The sequence below is a fragment of the Homo sapiens genome, chromosome 4 (assembly GCF_000001405.40).
Source record: "Homo sapiens chromosome 4, GRCh38.p14 Primary Assembly".
Classification (NCBI taxonomy): domain Eukaryota; kingdom Metazoa; phylum Chordata; class Mammalia; order Primates; family Hominidae; genus Homo; species Homo sapiens.
The window spans coordinates 76,745,241-76,769,916 of record NC_000004.12 but is presented as its reverse complement, the minus strand read 5'-3'; the positions used below and the strand labels follow the sequence as shown (position 1 = coordinate 76,769,916).

The 24,676-nt window shown below is 41.0% G+C and overlaps 1 protein-coding gene and 1 long non-coding RNA gene across 4 annotated transcripts in view, besides 2 other annotated features; one reads left to right on the top strand and one right to left on the bottom strand.

The window, feature by feature from the left end:
* The window catches only part of SHROOM3 (shroom family member 3), a 348,025-nt gene that overhangs the window by 13,337 nt on the left and 310,012 nt on the right, over positions 1-24,676 (bottom strand). Inside the window, exons 6-9 of the mRNA NM_020859.4 lie at positions 20,827-20,900; positions 14,725-15,606; positions 12,980-13,468; positions 10,222-10,372 (exon numbers count right to left, since the gene is read on the bottom strand). Coding sequence (NP_065910.3) covers positions 10,222-10,372; positions 12,980-13,468; positions 14,725-15,606; positions 20,827-20,900 — 1,596 coding nt within the window. The remainder of the gene's footprint in view (positions 1-10,221; positions 10,373-12,979; positions 13,469-14,724; positions 15,607-20,826; positions 20,901-24,676) is intronic.
* The window catches only part of SHROOM3-AS1 (SHROOM3 antisense RNA 1), a 92,558-nt gene that overhangs the window by 32,547 nt on the left and 35,335 nt on the right, over positions 1-24,676 (top strand). The window contains exons 2-3 of one of the 3 annotated variants that reach the window (NR_187406.1): positions 11,325-11,868; positions 12,829-14,394. The exons of 1 other annotated variant lie outside the window; for it this stretch is intronic. This is a non-coding gene — a long non-coding RNA (SHROOM3 antisense RNA 1). Of the gene's footprint in view, positions 1-11,324; positions 11,869-12,828; positions 14,395-24,676 lie in introns of those variants that run through there. One more of the 3 variants, NR_187404.1, reaches the window with a different exon arrangement.
* Positions 10,784-10,853: a silencer, noted in NCBI's record as "silent region_15489". NCBI's record gives its function as "represses an Ori minimal core promoter by ATAC-STARR-seq in GM12878 lymphoblastoid cells {active_cell/tissue: GM12878}" and the evidence as "EXISTENCE:reporter gene assay evidence [ECO:0000049][PMID:35858748]".
* Positions 15,707-16,001: a silencer, noted in NCBI's record as "tiled region #6551; HepG2 Repressive non-DNase unmatched - State 24:Quies". NCBI's record gives its function as "represses a minimal TATA promoter and a strong SV40 promoter by Sharpr-MPRA in HepG2 cells {active_cell/tissue: HepG2}" and the evidence as "EXISTENCE:reporter gene assay evidence [ECO:0000049][PMID:27701403]".

Below are 24,676 nucleotides of genomic sequence, written 5' to 3'. Positions count from 1 at the left end.
GAATTAAGGGATTGGCCCAAGGTCTTAGAGCTGAGTTGAATATTAATTGTAGCTACCATTTGTAGAGCAGTTGATATGTGCCATACATATGGAGAAACTCTACACTGATTATGTTACTTAGTCTTCCCAGCAATCTTATAGTAGATACTGTTTTATCTACCTATAATAAGGGAGGAAACTAAGACATTGTGAGGTGAAGTGAACTCAAGTCAGCCTCACTTTAGGGGCCACCCTTGTACAATCATTAGAAATTGACAGCAAGACCTTTATCAGAAAGTCAGCCCCTTGTTCTACCTCCCCTGTCTCCAGTTACCAGAGCTGTGCAATTTGACACCTTAATCACATATTTCCATACTTATAAAACAGTGAAGCAAATACCCAATATATTTAACTGAAGGAAGGAAGTAAATGTCTTAGTGGCTTCTAGTTTGAATTCATTTATATTGTCTACTGCTTCTTTTGCACAACAGAAATTAAACTCCACGGTTTTTGTAATTAGTCTTTCATTTTTCTCTTAGCCTAAAATAGCTAGATGGAAAGAAGACAATCTTTTTTAGTTAAAACTTACTTTTTTTTTTTTACTGCTAAAAAGGCCCCAGCTCAAAAATTCTCTGTATGTACATACACACATGCATACTATATATATAATTGGTGTGTGTGTATATACACACACACGCATATAGACACATGCACACACATGCACACCCCAAACTGGCTTCAACTGGAAACTTGGTTAAATATAAAGGTTACAACTTCTATGTTGGAAGTATATGTTCATTTTAAAGGAAAAAAAAAACACACACACAAAAAAAGGAAAAACATATTTTTGACCAACAGAATTGAAAGGTACTGACAACTTTTTGTACTATTTCAGTATCAGCACCAGAGAAGGTCCATTAGGAATGTAATCACAATGACTAGGGAAATATTTATTTCTCCACAATCTGCCTATCTTGGAGTCGGACCATCAGAGGTACTTCACAAGTGAGTGAGGTTCATAATGTCCTTGAAATGTCTAAGTTCTGGCTTTAATGGTGACATCTTGTTGTTTTCTCAATCTGCCTAATCCTAGAGGCTGCAGGTGGCTAAAAAATTCACATCCAGGCTGGGCGCAGTGGCTCATGCCTGTAATCCCAGCACTTTGGGAGGCTGAGGTGGGCGGATCACCTGTGGTCAGGAGTTTGAGACAAACCTGGTCAAAATGGTGAAAGCCCATCTCTACTGAAAAAAATACAAAAATTAGCCAGGCGTGATGGTGGGCGTCTGTAATCCCCAGCTACTAGGAGGCTGAGGCAGGAGAATCGCTTGAACCTGAGAGGTGGAGTTTGCAGTGAGCCTAGATCACACCACTGTACTCCAGCCTGGGTAACAGAATGAGACTCTGTCTCAAAAATCACATCTGCTGCACCATCTCATCACAGGTTATAATCTTTGGTTTTCCTCAAGCTGTTAAAATTGCTTAATATTAATTATTTAAGTTTTCTTATCTTCACCTGGAAAAATTTCATTTTCCAAAAAAGCAATTCTGGCTGGAAGCTATGAAATTTACCTGCAAGAGAACATGTTATATACCTCCAGCAAAATGCCTGGCAGGGTGTGATGATCTTTCACTGTGATATCAGCGCATATGGAGAAAATGGCAAGGACACTGGAATGCAAAGCAGCAGGAAAAATAAACACTGCATGCTGTTGTGTCTCCCAGCATTCCTGCTGGACTGGGTTAAGACAAGTCAAATGTCATCATTCCTGTTTTTCAGACAGATAATGAGAGAGAATGTCATCTATGTGAAGTCAGCCCAGGAATTTTTAACTCGAAGGGTACATTTCCTAGGCTTTTTGCTCTAGATGTTACTGGAAGACACTTAAAGACAACTGGGTTATACCAAATTGAAAGAGATAGTTACTGGGGCAAAACATTATCACTGCACCCTCAGGAAAAGGCCTTCAGCTCATTCAAATTTCAGGCGTCCATTTCAACCTCATGTCCTGAGAAGCAGAATTTCTAGAATGTCTAGAAAATGCTTTTTAAAAACCAAATAGTGGAAAGAAACAAGGTGGTTTTTTTCAGCCTGTTTTTCATTATTTCTATTAATGACTTTTTTTGAAACTAGTATGGTGTGTTGTCATTTCTGGAAGGAACTAAAACCCTTATTAAACTATTATTTCATGTGGCCTCATTGTATTTAAAAATCCTCCTGTGGCTCTTAGAGGCTGCTTTTTTTGTTGTTTTGTTTTTTTGAGATGGAGTTTCACTCTTGTTGCCCAGGCTGGAGTGCAATGGCGTGATCTCGGCTCACTGCAAACTCTTGCCTCCTGGGTTCAAGTGATTCTCCTGCCTCAGCCTCCCGAGTAGCTGGGATTACTGGCACCCGCCACCACGCCCAGCTAATTTTGTATTTTTAGTAGAGATGGGGTTTCACCATGTTGGTCAGGCTGGTCTCGAACTCCTGACCTCAGTTATTCACCTGCCTTGGCCTCCCAAAGTGCTGGGATTACAGGTGTGAGCCACCGCGCCCAGCCAGAGGCTGGTATTTTAAAGGACATGTGTGATGCTTATCAATTTGCAAATGGGCAGAAACCAAGGATAAGTAGTTTGCTCTCACATGTGGTGGTGAGTGATGAGAGGAGAGAACTCATCCTTTCAAATTTTCTGCTGAACTCAGGTCAACAGCTCTCTCCGGCACCTAAGCAGATCAGCAACACTGCAGGGGTGGCCCTGAGGTGAGCATGGTTCAGTGGACTGGAAGGGTCAAAATAACTTGACCCAGCCAAACTGCAATCGGGCTTCAAACACAACCATCCAGTCAACCCCATCTTTCCTTCCCAGACCCTGTTTTGGTTTTCAGAGACATCAGTGCTGGGCAGAACCATAAATAAATCTGTCACAGGAGCATGTGTGTACCCCAGGCTTCACGGTGCAAGAAAGAACGGAATGAGATGAAAATGTATAGAAGTGATGCAGGGAGGCTTCTGTGGAAAGAACCTGATTTTGGAAAGTTATTAATATTTGCTGGGCTCTAATGTGATATCTCATGGCTCAGCCACAGATGCTAAGGCCAGAATTACTGAGTGGTCACGTCAGTCACTCCTGGCTGAATGTTCCTCAGTTAGGTGGCATTTGAATTTTTTAAAAGCCCTAACGAGCCCCTTAAAATATGATAATTTGAATTTTAAAATGCAGTTAAGAGGGATTTGAGAAACTGACAGCAGCAAGAGAAAGCTGGCTGTACTAAATAGCCATTTCTTTGCCAGGCAGATCTCTTCCAAAAAACCTACCAATGTCTACCAGAATAACTCACCGGGGGAGGGAGAAGAGGTGTGTTTTGTTTTAAATAACACACTAGTCTCTCAGGAGCTACTTAATTTGTGAAATCATTTATCCACTTCTCATCTGGCATAAACTGTTAGCTCACCCTGTGTGAGATGCTATTTATACGAGTTCTTCCCCCAAACATAGCTTCATAGACCCTGCCTCCCACCTCATCCTCTGCAGAAATGTCCTCTGGACCCTTCCCCACTTCCTGCCTACAGCAGGATGAACACTGGACAAGGAGGCAGGAGGCTCTGACATAACATTCGGCATCAGGCAAGTCACTTGACCTTCTGTTTCTCAGTTATCCACAGCGAGAAGAAAATAACACCTGCCGAAAACTAATAATAATGTCTAATTAATTATTCAGCTCTTTCTCTGTGCCAGACACCATTTAAGTGTTTTACTATTCAATTACTACTTGCAACAACCCGGTGAGAGAGGTATTATTATTATCCCCGTTTACCGATGAGGAAAGTGAGGAGGATAGAGGTTAACTTGTTCAAGGCCATGCAGCTGGTACGTGACAGAGCCAGGCTTAAACGCAGATCATCTGGCTTCAGACTTTCATCACTTTATTAAAATAGCTCATAAGAATACTATGAGGCTCAAATGAGGCTGGCGGAAACCACAACATATGATATTAGTTTCAAAAGAAGTCATAACAGAAATAACGAAAACCATGAGGATGAAAAGAAAAGCCTTGTTTCTTTCCACTGTTGAGTTTTTCAAAAGCATTTTCTAGAAATTCGACTTCTCAAGTCATGAATGTTGAAATGGAGGCCAGAAATTTGAAGAGTTGAAGGCTGGTGCAATCACTTTGGAAAATATGAAAGTATTATACACATTCTAATTATATTTTTTGTGCAGTCGTAAGATTAGACAACAATTTGAAGATGACACACCGCTCATATTAGATAGATGTCTGTAGGGGGAATACTCCTTCCCCTGACAAGACCACATCGCCAGTAACGTCACTCTACACACACAGTTGGCCTCTGTGTGTCTCCGTCTTAAGAGTAATTCAGGACTACTAGCCAAGTGGTTGGGATTTAGGAATAGAGTGGAATTCAGCTTAGCTTGTAAAAACTAGGACGAGATAAAGCCATTTCTAGCATATAGGCATTGCTGGCATAATCACAGCTCACTACAGCCTCAACCCCCCGGCTCAGGTGATCCTCCCACCTCAGCGTCCCAGGTAGCTGGGATTACAGGCACGCATTACCACACTTGGCTAATTTTTTTTTTTTTTTTTGTAGAGATGGGGTTTCACCATGTTGGCCAGGCTGGTCTTGAACTCTTAGACTCAAGAGATCCGCCTGCCTTGGCCTCCCTAAGTGCTGGGTTACAGGCATGAGCCACTGTGCCCAGAATCTACAAGAGTCTTTAAAACAACTTTAAAAAGAGACCTTCTCAGCAAAGAAATAGAAACTATTTTTTAAATGTAAATTTTAGAACTGAAAACTATAATATTTGAAATTAAAAAAAAAAAAAATCACTGGCAGAATGGAGATAGGAAAGTCAGTGAACTTGAAAACAGACCAACAGAAATTATCCAATCTGAAGGACTGAAAGAAAACAGATTTAAAAAAAAATGAATGGAGCTTGTGGGACAATATGAACTGTCATTGAAATACTGTATCACTAGTCACTAAAGTCCTGGAGGGAGAAGATTAATGCATTAAGAATATTTGAAGACAGAATGGCTGAAAACTTCCAGAATTTGGTGAAAGACATAAATTTACAGAATCAAGAGGCTCAGCAAACCCCAAATACGATCAACTCAAAGAAAACTAAGTCCATCCAAATCATAATCAAAATGCTAAAGACGAAAGAGAGTGGCCAGAGGAAAACAACACATTGCATACAGGAGGAGCCAATATTTAAAGGACTGTGCATTTCTCATTAGAAACCATGGAAGCAAGAGGAAAGTGAACATTTGTTAAGTACTGAAAGAAAAGAGTCAACTCAACCCAGAATCCCATATCCAGTGAAAATGCCCTTCAAGGGTGACAGTGGAATAAAGACATTCCTAGATGGAGAAAACTAAAAGAATGTGTTATCAGCAGACCTATTCTGAAATAAATACTGAAAGGAAGTAAGACCAGAGGGAGAGCTGGAACTTCAGGAATGAAGGAAGAGCAGCGGGAATGGGCAGCTGAGAACCAGTGATCTCCTGAGAAAAGCTGACTCAGAGGAACAATAGATTCCTTTTGCCTTTTGAAATATTCCTCTAAGTTTCTGAAGCCAAAGCCTGTTGGACTTCAGAATAGGGAATTATGTGATTGGTTTAAGTAGAATTTTGCTTAATAATAAGGCAGGCTTTAGCCAAAAAATTGACAGCTCTGATTATTTACACTGTCTTTAGTTTTACGTATATCAAAAGTTCAGACAATGGAAGTTTCATATTTTAACTGATACTTACATTTACTTGGAATATTATTCATCATCTAGGATATATAAATAGAAATATCAAAGTGAAACTAAAGTGTTATTTTTAATTTATAAAATAGTTATTAGTAAACCAAGACTCTAGTTCCTAGCCTAGATATATATCTTAGGTTATTAATAACTTTAAATATTAAATAACAAATTATTACTTTGCAAAAGTTGGTCAAAGGCTACATTCTACCTCAAAACAATATTGGAGAATGGATATTGACCAAGTATCATTTTTCTAAACCATCATTAGAAAAGCTTGTTGTATTTCAGGAAGAAAACTGCATTTTGCTGAATATATTAAAGATGTTTTCAACAACATCACTTATTTAAAACTTTGTGTTTCCAAATCAGATATGTAAATGTAAGTGATACCAATGAAAATTCAATTACACATTTATAAACTTGTAGTTCATTACAACAAACTAAAATCTCAAAGGGTTCTCCATTGTCATATGATAAAATCCGAACTTCAGCATTTCACACAAAGCCCTACATGACCTTATGACCTACTGGCTCTTGTGAACCCTTCCAGCCTCATCTCCCACTGTTTGTGGCCTTCCTTTGTTATTTTCTAAATTTGGTAATTTTTTTTTCTTTTTTGAGACAGGGTCTCACTCTGTCACTCAGGCTGGATTGGAGTGGCACGATCTTGGTTCACTGCAGCCTCTGCCTGTCGGGCTCAAGCGATCCTCCCACCTCAGCCTCCCAAGTAGCTCAGACCACAGGTGTGTGCCACCATGCTCAGCTAATTTTTTAGTTTTTTAATTTTTTTTTTTTTGAGATGGAGTCTCGCTCTGTCGCCCAGTCTGGAGTGCAGTGGCACGATCTCAGCTCACTGCAACCTCTGCCTCCTGGGTTCAAGCAATTTTCCTGCCTCAGCCTTCCGAGTAGCTGGGATTACAGTTGTGCGCCAACACACCTGGCTAATTTTTTATATTTTTGGTAGAGATAGGGTTTCACTATATTGCTCAGGCTGGTCTCGAACTCCTGGGCTCCAGCAATCCTCCTGCCTTGGCCTCCCAAAGTGCTGGGATTACAGGTGTGAGCCACTGTGCCTGGCTTAAGCTTGGTGATTTTTTATTTAATCATGAGCCTTTGTTACATTCCAAAATATCAAACTACTTGAAGCACCCTTCTTTATCATACACATTCCATGCTTTTTCTTATCTTTTGGTTTCTCCTTATGCTTTTCCTTTTGTCTCGAATGCTCCTGACTCCTACCGATACATTCTTCAATGCTGATCTCAGGTTTTATCTTCCTGGAGGAGGTAAAATCTGACTCTACTCTCTTGAGTCAGGAACTGCTCCTTTGGGCTCCCCCAGTAGAGTCCATGTGTCTATCAGAAGACCAATAATGTAGTGCTAAAATAATCCACCTCTCTTGCCAGTCTAAAGTTCCAGGAAAGCAGACACAGTGTCTTATTCATGTTTGTATGCCCAAGGCAGAGCACAGTGTCTGAAACAGAGAAGGTGTGTTCTCACTAAGCATTTATGAGCCTAACATTTTACACTCACAAAGTGATGCAAACCCTCAGGCCACTTACAGCCTTAGAAGAAAGGATTGAGGGAAGAAGGAACCGAAGGAAATTCTAACTGGATGTGGAGGCCTCATTAACTAAATGGCCTTTTCTCATCTTTCTTTATCCCTGAAGAGCCAGATAAGCCCACAGGGCAAGTGGGTATCATCCCCCTGGTGCTGTGGGCAACATTTTCCACAGTGAAGAGAGAAAACAAATGTGAGCTGTTTTTCCTCGTAAGAGTCTGATTTAGGAAAGTGCCTAGCCTTGTTGGCAATAAGGCACCTTCTCACTGAACATCTTAACATGAAAGATACCAGATGCCATCAACATTTGCATACTTACATGACATTGCCTTAAACACTTCTCTGTTAAGATATTATATGCTCTTACACCCTGCAGCTCAAAAAGCACATTCATATATGTCAGTTAATTTGACCCCACAACTATTATGTGAGAGATCATTACCACTTCCATTTTATTAAGAAAAAAGGGTCAAGAAAGGACAAACTAGTTGCTTAACTTCCAGATTTTTTTTTCTTCTGAATTCTAATACCATGATCTCCCATCCAAGTACTAACCAGGCCTGACCCTGGTCAGCTTCTGAGATCAAATGTGTTGAGGATAGCAAGGCCATAGACTCGAATCCTATAACCTTTCCACAGTGGGCTTCTGGATATTTTTCTTCAGTTAAACGGTAAACTCCAACTTGGGAGTTTTGCACTTTATAACTTCATGAAACAAATGTTTATTGAGCACGTGCTAGGTGCCAGGCCCTGGTTATGTGGCTGTGACATTTCCTCTCCCTAAGATCTCTTCCACCCTGAGTGGGGTTTTGTCTTCCTAAGCCCGTGACTCCCCCAAAAGGCACTCCAAATGACTCGAAACTCCTCAGTCCTCAAGTCACGGACACTGCTGTTCTCATATTTTTGGTTTAAAATGGGTTTTAACTGGTTTTAATCTCAAACTCTAGCTCTGGTTAGTTATACCCAGAGAACCTCCAGTTTAGCTCAGTTCCCAGGGCAGCAAGGTTTAAAGGCAGCTGACCTGGGAGCAATTTTTAGCAGGCTTTGGGGTCAGAAAGACATAAGGTTAAATCTGACTTTAGCATCTATTAACTGTGTGACCCCAGCCCTTAAATTCTCTAATTCTGATTAGCATAAAATGTGGTAGTACAAGTGTCAGAGGAGTTTTGTGCAAGTAAGATAGTACAGCATTGTGTTGAAAAGAAAATCAAATACATAGCCCACACTTGGAATGAAATACATACTACCTAATGTTGTTTCCCGTGAGGATGGATGAATTCTCTATTTCTTCATATTCTCAGTCTAAAAATACTTTTTGCCACATAATGCTTCGAGTGAGAGGGTGATAATTGAAAGTGATGGGAAAACAGTTAATTGGGTACACATGGACATAAATATGGGACCAGCAGACACTGGGGAATAAAAGAGGGTTGGAAGGAAAGGGGACAAAGGTTAAAAAACTACCTATTGGGTACTATGCTCGCTACCTGGTTGATGCATACAATCATACAGCAAGCCTCAGGATCATGCAATATACCTTTGTAACAAACCTGCCTATGCCCCGATTCTAAAATAAAACTTAGAAAAAAAAACACTTAAAAATTAAGATAGGGAGGAAAAGCAATGAGTATTTGCCACACTGCAACTGTAAAGCAGGTATGCCCAAAGGCAGAAAACAAAATAACAAAAAAATTGTGTAAAACGTTCAGTTAAAGATGCCATGGCAACGTGATACATGTAAGGGTGTATACATAGCTCTCTCTTTGGGATAAATATAGACAGACCAAAAGCCAAGTGGTCTTATTTGCAATCAGGGGACCCGTTAAATGAAGTGCTCAGCAGTGCTGGGGTAGGTATATATATCAGGGGTATACAATGACAAGTATGTAAATAGGAAAACTTTGGGCTAGCAGGGAGCTTGCTACTACAATGGTTGCATCAGCATGTTAGCCATGACCCAGAGGTGCTGCAAAGATCCCTCCTGTCCAGTTACCCTCTGCTCCTAGGGTCTATATCCTGTGGTTTCATTCCAACAGACAAGACAGCTTGGGACACATTGTAGATCAAATGAAATAAAATCACCCTAGAAAGTTTCTCCTGGAATCAGGATCACTGAAAACCACTTACCTTCCAGGCTCAGCAAGAAGCAAGCAAGCTTTCCTTTGCAGCACACATGCCTGAGCTGCATAGAGAGCTGCAAGCACAGCAGAAGGCAGCCCCTCTGGTGCTATAGAGAAAGTGGAAGGCGAGAACTTTCTCCCCTGCAGACACAGCCCAGTTTAGATCTCCATGGCATGTGGGAAGACAGCAGCAGCATCACGGTCATTTTTTAAGTGTCTTAACATTTGAAATCTCTGTAGGAGTATCAAATGCTAACAACTAGATTCCAGCACTGCACTTTCAAGCTATTCGCTGAAGTCCCTCAAAAAGGGCTGGGGAAGATATAAAGGTTAATATTACTTTTTCTCAGAAGTGTCATTTAACAATTGGCCTCCTTCCCTAAAAAAAGTTTCTAGATTTTAAAATTTTCCTTTTGACTATGAAACAAGAAAATTACACACACCGTTGGCACTGGCCAACCAGCAGCTGAGAACAGTGTCGGGGTCCTGGTGCTGGATTAGGAGGCTAGGGACTTGGGTTCAAGTCCTGGCTATGAGACTTCTAATAATCCCTCTAAGCTTCACTTCTGTTATTTGTAAAAACGAAAAGTACAGTAGCTTACCTGCCCTGCCTACTCACAGAAAAGCTAAGAGGAAATTAGTTAAAGTGCCATGTAAATCCAAAGTCTAATGATTTTGGTGCAATCTGGTGATGTGACAGGTCCTTTCCCCACCTGCCTCAAGAGGCCCAGTCACCACGCTGATTACATGGACCTTGTCAATTTTTCTGAGGAAAGCTGAACAAGGGCATCCCATTCTTTATTTACCTTCTTTTCATTGACATCTGCCTGTTCCTCTTCCTCATTCACTTCTGCTGGCATCTCTTTGATTTTGTTCAGTAGCTCAGCCTTGGGAGCAGACACACTGTAGTAGGCAGGGCAGTTAACCAACATGCTCACTGCTTCCTTGTCTTCATTCCTGGGCCAAAAAGAGCACAAAGTATAGCCACACAGATCACGCCAGAGGCTTTGTTTCACTGCAGATGTCAGTCCATTCAGAAGTGCGTAACAATTCTATTTAATTTCTTTCCCAGAAATTAGGATAAACTAGTAACTGTTAACTAATGAGTGATTACTATGTACAGGGCTGTTGAAGCCAGGCAAACTTGGGATGGAAAACCACCAAAAGCAGCATTAGGGATGACAGTGGGAGTCAAGGCTATGGCCTCGCCAGCTGACTCTGGAGAAGACATTTAACCTCTCTGCTTTTGTGATTCATATAAGAACGACACTGACTCCTTATTTCAGAGAAAGGCAGTGTGGAACCATGACTCAATCAATGTGAAAGTATTTTCAAGGTGCTGCACAAACCTCAGGTTTTAGGTCAATTATTTCCTATACTCCTTTGGTTACATGTAATCTTTCTAGTGCCTACTATGCACTGTTGCTTGAACACACAAAATTTTTCCTTCTCAAGTGTGCCTGCTATCCCATATAATCCTGGGAAATCTGCAGTTTGCTGGTCCGCAGTGAACTAATACAAGATATAAAATCTACTCATTGATAATATAATAGGGATGTTTTAAGGCTGAAGAAAAAACTCAGAATTGAGAAACCTGCTATCTAGTAGTTCTCTGTTTTACCACATTTGAGTTGCCTTTCAGCCTATAATTCATATCCTACCCACTGAATAAATGACTCTATGGAAGTACGATTCTCTTGGAGAGGAACTTTATTTAATCTTGTGATATTATTTAACATCTAGCCCATCATTTTACTATGAAATTAGGAACCACACACACAAAAAATCATCTTTACTAGTTTCCTGCTTGATAACTGTCCCAGTAAGCAACAATGACCACATTTAATCCAGTTAATTGAAAGACAGGGAAAAGATTTTCTGATACATTTTTGTTTGTTTTTGTTTTCAGATATGTCCACCGCATTACAAATGGGATTCTCTGGCATCTGACCAACCCTCACAATGGCTACTGGCCATCTCATGCCCAACAGGACAATGCTTATTTCCACCAGGAGATGGCGCATGCCTTTTTTTTTTTTTTTTTAAATCCCCAGGAAGGTCTCAGTGCTGCAAAAGCTCCATGACCATTCTGCTTCTAAACTGACGGAGCAAACATATATTTCCAGTGGTAATGCTAGGAAATACTTTGCTAAGGATGTTACTTTGGTCCTTCAGCCAGTGGTCAGAGAACAGAATGACCATACTGCAACCACCCATGGTGAACTGACTGGCACACCTACAAAAATCTTATCTTTGGGGTCCCCATAGTACCCAGTGGATTGCCTTGCACATTGTAGGTGCTCAGTATGTGTTTGCTAAAGACATGACCCTGGATAAATCACTTCACCTCAATTAGTCTGTTTCCCAAATCTGAAAATAAAAGCAGTGAAATGGACAAGGTGACAGTTAAGGCCTTGAATCAGAAGAGCCTCTGACAATGTGACAAATAGCTTGTAAGTATCACATAGCTCTTTCCTTTCTCTCTCCCCCATAAAATGAAACGTGGTGTTCCTGTTAGTAATTTAGTTAGGATCAGTTGGAAATTTTTAAAATGCAATCCCAAATTTGGATAAAATGTTCTGTTTTTATTTAGTCTGGAAGCCACTAACTGCTGAGTCCCAGACTGTCAATCCACAAAGATTTCACTGAAAATTTAAGAGAAAATGAAAGCTACTCAGTCTTTCTCATAGTAGTCTTTTAAGGAAATAAAACATGCAAGAAAATACTGCAGTAACCCAGGAGAAATGAAAAGCACAGACTGCACACTGGGACACGTGTTACATGGCTGGCTCAAGGAGCTTCAGAAGCAGAGGCTCACGGACTGGGCCAAACCAGACAGTGCGCTCCTACTCAGACCTTTCCTGATTTTCAGGATTTGCGCCAACACCCACCTTAATGCCTCAGAGGTAAGGGTCAGTGTAGTACACGAATCTATTTCTCTAGGCTCTCCTCCTTACAAAGCCCTTCCCCTCTCAGTCTTGGCAAGACGTTGGCCACGCTCACCACTTCCACTTGCTCCTTTCCCAGCACCGAGCTCTGAGGGCCTCTCTGCCAGAGCAGCTCTGATACAGAACCGGCAAGTACACCTTTGCTGAGCTGGGGGCACTGTGTAATTGCTGGAGACAGGCACAGTCATGGGGCTGTGATCAAATCCAGGTGCCATCACTCACATGTTCAATGACCTTGGTGAGCATGGTCTTAATTCCTCTGTACTTCAGTTTCCTCATTTGTAAATGGAGGTAAAATTGGTAGCCACCTCAGAAAGTTCTTGTGAAAATTAAATAATGTTGATATAAATAAATTAATACAATGTTTGACACACAACGTTAACAATGGGTACTAATGGCAATTATTATAATTATTACTATTACTTTCTTTGTTGTTGCATATCTGTCCCACATCCTCACTGCCAGAGCCATTCCTCCAAGACTGAGATAAAATGTCACTCTTGGTTCAGGAGCTGTGGCAGTAGGAGAACATCAGGCAACTAGTCCTAGACTTATCATCATCCCCATGGAAGGAGTGTGATTGTAAGTCTCTCTGAGGACATCACCAGGGACTTACCTCTTGCCTTCACATCCTGAAGAGCTGACAGTTCTCTGTATGGCCTTCCTCTTTACACTGTTTTCCTTCAGCAAGTTCACATCTCGGGGAAACAAACCTTCCATCAGGTCCATTGTTGTCTTCAGCCTGGAGTCTGGATCCAAAATGTCTGCTAGAGATTTGTCTTGGTGGACAATTTCCTTGGCCAAAGCCTCTGTTCTGATGTCTTCTGAACTCTTCTGAGGATCAGGACTGACTTTCTTTTCTAAACCCTGAGTTCCACTGACTGGATCATGGCTGAGGCTTTGAGTCTGGATGGGTGCTGGCTGCCCACCAAGAGACCCAGCAAGTTGGGCGTGAACGCTCATGAAGGAGGGTGGTGTGGACTCAGCCTCTGAACCCTTGATAGAAGTTTGGAGTCTGGAAGCCAGTGTCTGACTACCTACCACATGGGCTGCACCAGGCATGTGCCTTTCCCTTGCAATTGTCACTTTAGAAAGTTTGTTGAAGCTGCCAGGGATATTTAAAAAAAAAAAAAAAAGAGAGAGAGAGAAAGAGAGAGTGATAAGAGAAGGGTGATGATAAGAGGGTGGAGAAAGACTGAGGGAGAAGCTTTCCACATCAGGGCTGTAGCTTTCCACATCTTCCACATGTTACTGACAGAGCTAATGTTAAAGAATATGGCTTCTGATTATAAGTGGGTCTCCTGATACTGAACCCCGAAACTAAAAACATTTACCTACCTAGTCACAGGTCATGCTAGACACACAAACATACATAGATATATACATAGGAGTAGGGTGAGATAGTCACATTTGAGATCAACCCCTTCTTTAGAAAACAACAGCACTCTAAAGGGGCTCCTGAGCCCAGCAGCTGGTCAGGAGGTTGTCATCTCCTGAGGAAGATGGACTAGGAATTCAGTTCTGGTGAATGTTGCTGTTAGATTCCAGAGATTTCTGAAAGGTCTAGGTTAACAGGGGTAGTGGTAGTAAGTCACTCTTGTGGTGTTTAAAGAAAGCCACTCAAAAGGTGCTGTCAGGCAATGTGTTTTTTTGGTGTTTTGAGAGATTACTTGTTCTAGGGACTATGTGTTGGGGAATGCTTCTTTCTCATTCTCCTAGCTTCCAAGAGGTTTTCCCTAAACATTACTGACCTTGAGCCCTACTCTTTATTCCTCCCTATGGACATGGAGTGATTTTGGAAAGAGAAGCTGAGCATTCACATCCCAGTCTCTCTTCTCTTTTGAGACTGAGGCTGCCTCAAGGCTGTATATATTAATATCTATGTGTATTTGTGTGTCTAACATGACCTTTGATGAGGTAGGTAAAGCTGTTTAACTTGGGGGTTCAGTATCAAGAGACCCACTTACAATCTGAAGCCATATTCTTTAATGTTAGCTCTGTCAGTAATAAAAGTGATGTTTTTGTCTTCTATATGCCCTCCTCTTTTGTCTTATTTCCTAACTGATTCAGAACTCATCCAGGGAGGAGGGATTTACTTGGACCGCCTAAGCCTATCCTGTCCCCAGAAGTGAAATGTGCCCCTTGGGTCCCAGCTTTCATTTCTGCCACCCTGACTCCTCAGTACCCAATGACACTGGTCCAACTACCTCCTGAGGCAAACAGATCAACAGTGTCCTGAGCTGAGCTGTATAGAAACATCTCCATGCCAGGGTTCTTCTGTGGCCAGCAGAAGGACCTGGGCCACCTGGGGCATGACACTCTCCTGTTAGTGGGGGAAAGCTGCCCAGTCTGCTCACTCACCTGGGGCGTGGCCCCTCGGGATCCTCACTGTCCAGCTGCGCCTCACATACAGTGTGGGGAGGAGGTGGAGGGAAGTCATCCATGCTATACACCGGGGTTTCCTGACTCGGTGGAGGAGGTGGGGGTGGGGGAAGAGGTTCAAATGTGGGGCTGGACGTGGCCTTGGGGTGCGGATCCCTCACAAACACTTCGTCTTCATAATCCTCATGAGGTGGCGGGGAGTCCCGCAGGACAGACTCAGATATTCGGAGGGAGATCCTCCCTGGAGTGCTCGGGGCCCCAAGAGGTGTGTCTGGGTCAGAAGTGCTGCATAAACTTGGAAGACTCTGCTGTTTTTGATAGTGCTTCAGGTTTGCAAAATCAGGGGCTGAGGATTCCTCAGGAAGGCTGTCCTCTCTGGCTGCGTGGGCCCACTTTGCTCGAGAAGGAGGTGGCCACTGAGGCAGCGAGACCCTCTTCCTCGTTCCCTCTTCTACCCCATGCTCTGGGCCATCGCCCTCACAGCCTCTTGGACCGGGAGGCTGGGTCAGGGTGTGACCATTGCTTCTGTGCATCATGGCAGGGGTGTAGGGCGGGAGAGGCTGTCGCCCTGTCTGACCGTCCTGTGAGCAGTAGCCAGAGGGAATGGCTGAAGGCAGAGGGGTGCCAATTGGGGTCAGGGGTGCAGCCCTGGTGTCTGTGACCAGCCCTTGCGTTCCTGCCAGTGGTGGCCTGGGGCAGGGTGTCCTACTGGCTTGCCTCTGATGGTCCAGGGTTCCAGGACATTCACTAGGAACGGAGGAATCACCAATGGCTTTGCAGCCTGAACCACCCCAACGAGGGGTGAGATGGTGGAAGAGCGGCAGCATCTCTTCTTGGCCTCTTTCTGAACAACTGAGTGACCTGGAACGGCACACAGACAGGAGGGTTACAGCTCTGAAGAAAGGGGCAAACATGCAGCCCAATGCTCCTTACATAGATGAGAAAAGCATTTAAGAGGAAGGAGGACCTCTTTTCCTTCCCCCAGAAACTGCACACTGTCTTCCCTGGCTGCTCACAGGAAGACCCAAGTTAAACCAGTACTAGGCAGGCATAAATTCCTACAGGAAAATGTCACATGGAATGACTGGGTTCACAAGGCATTTTCTTTTATTAACCCTCTCACCGCCCCCACATCCTGTACACACCATGCAACATAAGGCAGCTTTTGAGGACAGGCTTCAGGCTATAAAAACAAACAGTACATTTCTTCAGCCCCTTTTAGGACTACTTCAGGAAATAGCTCCCAGCTCTGGGGAAAAATAATGCTGCCTTCTTCTCTCCCAGTGCGATCCCCACGGGGGAGGTCTGTTTTGAAAGCATTTGCATGGGCTGCTGAATTTGAAGGTTTTATTTACAACTTTTGCTTACTCTCCTAGTGTTTTCATTTCATCTGATGAAAAATAAAAAGGAGGGGGAGAGTCTCACCTAAGGAGCTAATAAGCAGTTACCTCTGGAGAAAGAGGCTGGCAATAATAAGCAAATATAGTACATGGTGATTTAAACAACTGTACGCTAGACTCCGAGGAAAAACCCAACAATTCGCAAAACTTTTGTTATTGTGTTCTAAAGGAGAAAAATCCACAAAACAAAACAGAAAAAAGAGTCTGTGGCACTACCTGCTATGCAAGAGTTAATGTGAGGATAAAAAGCTCTCCAGCAAACCCACCGTGATTTGTACATTCCCTGTCTGCAGTTCCCTGACTGGCTATGTGAGTGGATCTGGAGTGCAGATGGCACATTTCATCTCACAGATCTGACTCCTCTGAGGGAGTGGTGACTCAGTCCCACATCAGAGCAATAACACAGGGCTTGCCACAAGATCATCCAAGTGCCAGGCAAACAGAATGCAGCATGTGGTGGAAGAAGATGGCAAAGAACCAAATTAGCTCTTCTCATGCCTTTATTTTTCCTTTATTATACATAGATGCAGATGATGGAATAAAGGGCCCACCTCTCTCTCTGATGCAACCCCTCCCTTCCCATGACCAGTCCCTTTCATTCAGACATGGTTTCTTTACCAGGAACCTCTCCATAGAGAAGTGTAGCCACTCTGCACTTCCTGGTGGCTTCCCGCTGGGGATGCTCTTCACTTCTGTCTCATCCATCCTGGCATCCCCAGTACCTGCCACCAAGTACCCCCTCAGCAAATGTCTGTTGAACAGTGACGTCTCCTTTGCCCAGCTGCTCTCCAGACTGTAGCATACAAACTGTTTTTAAACCCAGCATCCTTTAACAGGATGTGGAGTCAGTTGAAATCTGATGTTTTAACGACTAATTCAGATGCCTTTATTTTATTTATTATATCTTGAGGCTTTTCTAAAGGGGAAGACATCACTAAAACATACAATAATATAGCACTTATCCTTTAAAGATCCAGCCCAATAGACTTTTATATGATGTTTTTAGTTTGTGTGACCTTAGTTTACACAAACTATACTAAAGTGGCATTTTCTTTTTGAAGATAATATCAGTGGTAAATGCTTAGCTTGGTTGAGAATGCTTCTCCGTGGTGATTATTTTGTGTTTTTAGGAATGAAGTTTGGGATAAAAAAAGACTTTGTTCAAGTCCCTTTTATAATAGAGTGTGAGAGGGTCACCCAGAGTCTGCTGATATGTATCCAGGAATCCTACTATTCAAGAATGGATTTTGAGAGCAATTAGTCTCACCTTTGTTTTGTTTTGCTTTAAAAAAAAAAAGAAAAAGCATTTTTAAAAAATTGTGGTTAGAAAAAACAACATAAAATTTCATCTTAACCATTTTTAAGTTCAGTAGTGTTAATATGTTCACACTGTTGTGAAACAGATCTCCAGAACTTTCACAACTTGCAAACCTAAAACTATGTACCCACTAAATAATAACTCCCCATTTCCCCCTCCTACTAACCCCTGGAAATCACTATTTTGTGTTTTGTGTGAATTTGACTACTTTAAGTACTTCATACAAGTGAAATTATACAGTATGTCTTTTTGTGACTGGCTTATATTTCACTTCACGTAATGTCATGTTGAAGCATGTGGCAGAATTTCCTTTTTAAGGCTGAGTAATATTCCATTGTATGGCTATACCACATTTTGTTTATCCAATCATCTGTCATGAGTAGACATTTGGGTTGTTTCCACCTCTTGGCTATTGTGAATAGTAAATACAGCTGCTATGAACATGGGTGTGAACATGGGTCTTGGAGACCCTGCTTTCAATTTTTTTGGACACATACTCTGAAGTGGCATTGCCAGATCATATGGTAGTTCTATTTTTAATGTTCTGAGATCTCCATGCTGTTTTTCATACGGCTGCACCATTTTACATTCCCACTAACAGTGTGCAAGGTTTCTAATTTCCCCATATCCTCACCAACACTGGTTGTTTTTCGTTTTTTTAATTGCAGCCATTCTAATGTGTGTGAGGTAAACATCTCATTGTGGTTTTGAGTTCTCTGATGATTAGTGGTGTTGAGCATCTTTTCAATGCTTGTTGGCCATGTGTCTGCCATCTTTGGATAAATGTCTAAGTCTTTTGCCCATTTTTATATAGACAAGTAAATTTTTATGTTTGAAATTAACAAGTGAATGTCTGAATTTAGTTGGATTGGTATCCTCTAGTGTTTTTCTTTAAAATGGAGATAAAAAGAGTGGAGAATGTTTGAAAACAGGAAAGAAGTATATAATAATGACAACTATTGTCTCTTTGTGACCCATGAAGGCATCAAACTCTCATAAAACTTGAACAGTGCAAAATCTCTACTTTTCTATAAATTAGAACATTTTATGTTTTTTAAAAAGCACTAATGTAAAGTCTGAATTTCATGTATTCAGGGAGAATTATGTCAGCATGGAGGAAAACTGACTGATCCTAATAGGCATTCATGGAGAACAGAGGGCACATTCCTCCAAATTCCACCTTCCAAATTATTTTGACATTTCAATATTGTCCAGTTGATGTGACTCTTGTCTTCGTACTATGATTAACAGAGTGACTATGATAAAAGACCATGCAAGCCTTTAGAAAAAAAAGAGTGTTATACTTTTTTGTGTCTTCTTGGTTGTGATGGTCAGAAAAATATACTGCAAGCAGAATTTTTAGTACTCAAAATTCATAGCACAGGATCTGTGATCAAGTCCCTCCCATGTTTTCCTGTCGGCTGCACTTTCCATGCCTATGCTTTTCCCCAGGACAGCTGAGAATTACATGTCCTGAAATTATCAATATCCTTTTCAGCAAGCACTAGGCATGCAGCTGCACCTATGCTAATGTCAATTGCTGAAGAACAGGACAAGCATTTCAGTTATTCAGTGGTATGCGATGCTTGTCATATTTATTCTTTTGGCATTTTTACAGCTCAGAAAGTTTTTTTTTTTTTTTAAACACAGAACTAATTTTGTTGAGGAAGATTTCCCCCTCCCCACAAAATTGCCACCTGTGTTTCTCAGATTGTCGATATTGCCACTGAGCCAACCAACAGCCCCCCTCACCTGTCACCTTCAATTATTTTTTTCCTTTCCAAGTTTTATTTTAGGTTCAAGGAGTACATGTACAGGTTTGTTACATGGGTAAATTGCATGACGCTGGGGTTTGATGTAAAGATAATTTTGTCACCCAGGTAAGCATAGTACCTGATAGGTAGTTTTTTCAATCCTCACCTTCCTCCCACCCTCCACCCTCAAATAGGCACCAGTGTCTATTGTTCCCTTCTTTGTGTCCATGTGTACTTAATGCTTAGCTTCCACTTGTAAGTGAGAACGTGCAGTATTTGTTTTTTTGTTTCTGTGTTCATTTGCTTAGGATAATGGCCTTCAGCTCCATCCATGTTGCTGCAAAGGACATGATCTTGTTCTTTTTTTTACCTTTGCCCATTTTTAAATAGGGTTATTTGATTGTTTGTTGTTTCGTCCCGTCTTTGATTTCAGACCAATTTTCTTTAGCAGTACTCTAGTTTATTGTTAGTTTTCCCTTGTCTCTAGCATTTAATTAATGCACCCAAACTCACCAAAGTCCTCAACCTCACCTTGAATACTTTCTTCCTTGTCAACACAGCTATAGGAGCAAGAGCATATAAATGTAGAAGGCTGATCTTGGCTAGAAAGCAGGTAATTAATACCTACTTCCTGACCATGTTGGCTGCTTCTACTTGACAGAATTAGGTTGTGTTATTAAGAAGGTGAATGTAGAAACAATGATTGAATGAAATGTAAGAAAAATTAAGGAAATGGCTTAAAAACGTAGAAAGGAGTAGGTAGGGTGTAGGTGTATTATCATTAGTAATAATAGATTATAGTAGATAACTCTGTAATGCTGCATTAAAACTACATACAGAGTACATGGTTCAGAGAATACCCTTTCTGAAAATTTCTACTTATTAAGTCCCATGTGAACAGTTCAAAATTTTAAATTCTAAAAAAGTGCTCATTTTACTTTTCTACCCAGGATATATGATTTTGATGGCATTTTAAAAAAACGACTTTCCTCTGTTTTCCATCCCCACATGTATAAAGTTATGATTTTGAGCTTTATTTTTCACCTCCGATGCTTACAGTTTGCCTTCCTCTGTGAAGCTGTTCATGAAATGCCCGTTCTTCCCTAGCACTGTGGTCACCAGATGTGATGCTCTGCACACAGAGCTGGATGAGATCAGCCACACAGGAGGCCCCATTTGTGAAAGCCATGGGGCACGCTCAAGAATAGCACCTCCATTAATTATTCTGTTGTCAAACTGGTTAGCCAAATCAACCTTGTCCTCAGTAGCACATGTTCAAAACCTATTTTGAACAAGTGTCATTCTTAAAGAAAATCATTTCTAAATGGAAAATAAAAAGTTCTCCATGCTAAATGACGAGTTAATGGGTGCAGCACACCAACATGGCACATGTATACATATGTAACAAACCTGCACGTTGTGCACATGTACCCTAAAACTTAAAGTATAATAATAAAACTAAAAAAAAAAGTTATCCATGGCCTAGACAAATCAAAAAAGCATGTGACACTATATGACATCACATTTCAATTTCTTGTAGAAAGGAACAAGAGTAGTTTAACACCAGCAGCATTCATATGCAGAGAGCATCATAAGTACATGTACATACCTAGATCCAGGACCAGCCAAATAACATGGATCCTTCACAAGACCAAAGCCACTGTCTTGCCCCAAAAGCACATCCTTGAAACACAAGAAAGGCACAGCATTACTGCCAATAAACGGGTGTTTAAATTTACCAAGAGGGTGGAGGTAAAAAGGAGAAGGAACACCTATTTACTGGCAACCTACTATTGTCAGGCCACGTGGTGGCACTCTTACATAATCCCATGGCATCGATGCAGGAGATAAGCCGAAGATTTAAAAAAAAAAAAAAAAAAAAAAAGCAGAGTCAGAATTTGAACTTCAGTCTGTCTCACCAGGTGCCTCCTCTAACAAGGATGTTTCCTAACTAAGAGAAGTCTCCTAACGATTATCTCTGGAGTTCAAAACAACTGCTAAACTTGAAATAGGATAACGAAGACAATGAATTCAATGGGCCAAACTTTTCAAATGGCAATAGGGAAATATGAGAGATGACGGGAAAGGACAGTCTATTACATTTTGCAAAAATCTCAAATGTTCCTAGTTACAATTAGTGAAGATATGAATTTGGATTGTAATCGGGTGCAATAAATTCTAGGAAAAAGTTCACTCACATGTGAGATCAATAACTCTGGGGCCTTTTCAGGGGTAGTTGTTTTTGTTTTAATGAGGGTATATACTGGAGTCCTGAAAGGGTTGTCAGTTTTTGATAGTATACAGTTTGGTCCCTGTGATCAGGTCCATGATGAAGATGATGATGTTGCCATTGATGATAATATATTAAACTCCCAATTATTTATGACAGGAGACAGGCAAAAACCAGAAAAATTAAATCCATATATAATCTCTAACTTAATTTCAGTAATTTATTTTGCCATTTAACCCTGCCCAATGGGTTAACTGCTCTTCACCCCGTTCCTCATTGTTTTTGTTTAGTGGTTGAGAAACTAATAAGCAATAGAAAGGGTCAAAGGTGGGAGCAGGCAGAAGAAACAAACCCCTGAACATTATTAATAATTGCAGCTACCGGTACTGGGTATTTACTGTGTGCCAGACACTCTGCTAAGTACCTTGCACCAACAAATTATATGCCTGGAATATTAGGCACTTGACTTTTTTTTTGTAACTTAATCTTTATAACAATTGGAAGCAGGGTATGTAATTGCAGCTCAGCAAGGTGACATATCTTGCCCACAGTTAAGTAAGTGGAGAAACTATGATTCAAGCCATGATCTCTTCAAAGCCCAAGGTCTTGCCATGGAATCTTTATAGGTTGAATGGCAGCTGGGCTGGATGTAATCAGACTTGAATGGCTTGAGAAAAATGAATTCCATGTGTTCTGATTCACTCAAATATCACTGTAGGGAATGAGAATTCCTGCTCTCCATGAAATTTATGGTCCTTTAAAAGTCTTTTCCCACCATTTTTCCCTATGTTGACAAGAATGTGCTACTTTGCCAATAATTAATTGGAAAAGCCTAGGTCCCATGTGAGCGCCTAACCCAGTAAAGTATAAATATGTATTCATATCCTATTACATCCTTTGCATTTCGTTTTGACAATGAATATAACTTCTGTATTCACATGATTTGGCCCCTAGAATATCGAGCTTAAACTATTTATGTGGATGTGGATAAAATAAAGGAATTAGACCCAGTAATAAACTATTGAGAGAATTCTCTGAATCTTCTATCAATCAAAATACCACTTGACAAAGGAAAATATCTTCCCAATCTGATACAAGCCCAAGGAAGATAAATTCCTATTGCATTTCTTGCTTTGAGCATATATTCACTGTCAAGACTTAATTTTCTATAAATTGGTAAGAAGTACAAAGTGCTTATTATGGCAATTACAGGGAAAAAAAAACAGTGGCTATGGGAAAAATACTAGGCATAGAATTATACCAACTTGTTAAGTGTCTGATTTATTTTTGTTAATTATCTCAAAATTGACTTAAAAATACACCAGTTCTTAGCATACTTAATAATGTAAATTGGTCGGGCGCGGTGGCTCACGCCTGTGATCCCAGCACTTTGGGAGGCAGAGACAGGCAGATCATGAGGTCAGGAGATCGAGATCATCCTGGCTAACGTGGTGAAACCCCGTCTCTACCAAAAGTACAAAAAAAATTACCGGGGCCTGGTGGCGGGCGCCTGTAGTCCGAGCTACTCAGGAGGCTGAGGCAGGAGAATGGCGTGAACCCGGGAGGCAAAGCTTGCAGTGAGCCGACATTGCGCCAGTGCACTCCAGCCTGGGTGACTGAGCGAGACTCCGTCTCAAAATAATAATAATAATAATAATAATAATAATAATAATAATAATAATAATAATGTAAATCTAAAGTCTACTGAATCTCAGTCCTCCTGTTTTGGGTTCCAAGTTAGTTATCTCAATATCTCTGTCACTGATGAAATGTGAAGACAATATTCACCTACTTTAGAATATTTCAAGTAACTACTAAAAATAACTAGAAATCCTTATGAAAAATCTGATGTGAAAAATACAGTCATGTGTCACTTAACAACAGGGATATGTTCTGAGAAATGCATCATTAGGCAATTTTGTCCTTGTGCAAACATTATAGAGTGTGCTTACAGAAACTAGATGACATAGACTACTACATCCCTAGGCTATATGGTATAGGCCTATTGCTCCTAGGCTACAAACCTGTTACAGCATATTACTGTGCTGAATACTGTAGGCAGTTGCAATACAATGGTATGTATTTTTGTATCTAAACATGGAGAAGATACAGTAAAAGTATGGTATTATAATCTTATGGGACCACTGTCACATATGTGGTCCATCCTTGACCATTATATGATGCATGACTGAAATAGTAATAAATGTTAAAATGAAATAAATTCATTGGATGATATTTTCAGATATAGAACATTTAACTCTTGCCTCTGTTTCCCCATTCCCAGCCTCTTTTTATTCAGGAGATGGCATGGTATAGTGACTTAAAGACTCTGCAGTCAGACAGTATGGGGTGAAAACCTCACTCTACTACCTTGGGCAAATTTTGTACCCTCTTGGTGACTTGGTTCCTTCTTCTGTAACTTAGAGATAATAATAGTATTTACCTCATTGCACAGATGTGAGGAATAATTTTATTTTATTTTATTTTTTGAGACAGAGTCTTGCTCTGTTGCCCAGGCTGGAGGGAAGTGGCGCTATCTCAGCTCACTGCAACCTCTGCCTCGTGAGTTCAAGCGATTCTCGTGCCTCAGTCTCCCAAGTAGCTGGGACTACAGATGCACACCACCATGCCTAGCTAATTTTTGTATTTTTAGTAGAGATGGGTTTTTGCCATGTTGGCCAGGCTGATCTCGAACTCCTGGCCTCAAGCAATCTAGCCACCTCGGCCTCCCAAGGTGCTGGGATTACAGGTGTGCACCACTGCACCCAGCCAAGACTAATTTTATACTTATAAAACACAGTACAATGACTGGCACACAGCAAAAATTTGATTATTGTTAGCTATTTGTATCTTCACATTTTGTGGAAAGTCAATTCTATTTTGTATAAGCTTAAATGTGTGCTTGTAGAAAGGTGCTAAAAAAGACTTATGAGTTGCATTCCACAGAATCAAGCCTATATCCAATACTGTGGTTCCATGCATTGAGCAATTTCCTCAGCAATTCAGTAATGTTTGTCACACCATCTCATAGTGATTATGTTACACATCAGACATGAAGTTCCCTGAAAATACTGTGAGAACCAGAGAAGTCTCTAACTCAGCATCCGGGGGAAATATCCCCACCAGTAATCTTATTTCTCCAAGGGTTTCTCTTTATAGTCTCTACTATATTTTAAATCTATGCAATGAACAGATATACATTTCTGTCTCTAAGGCAGAAATGTTGGCT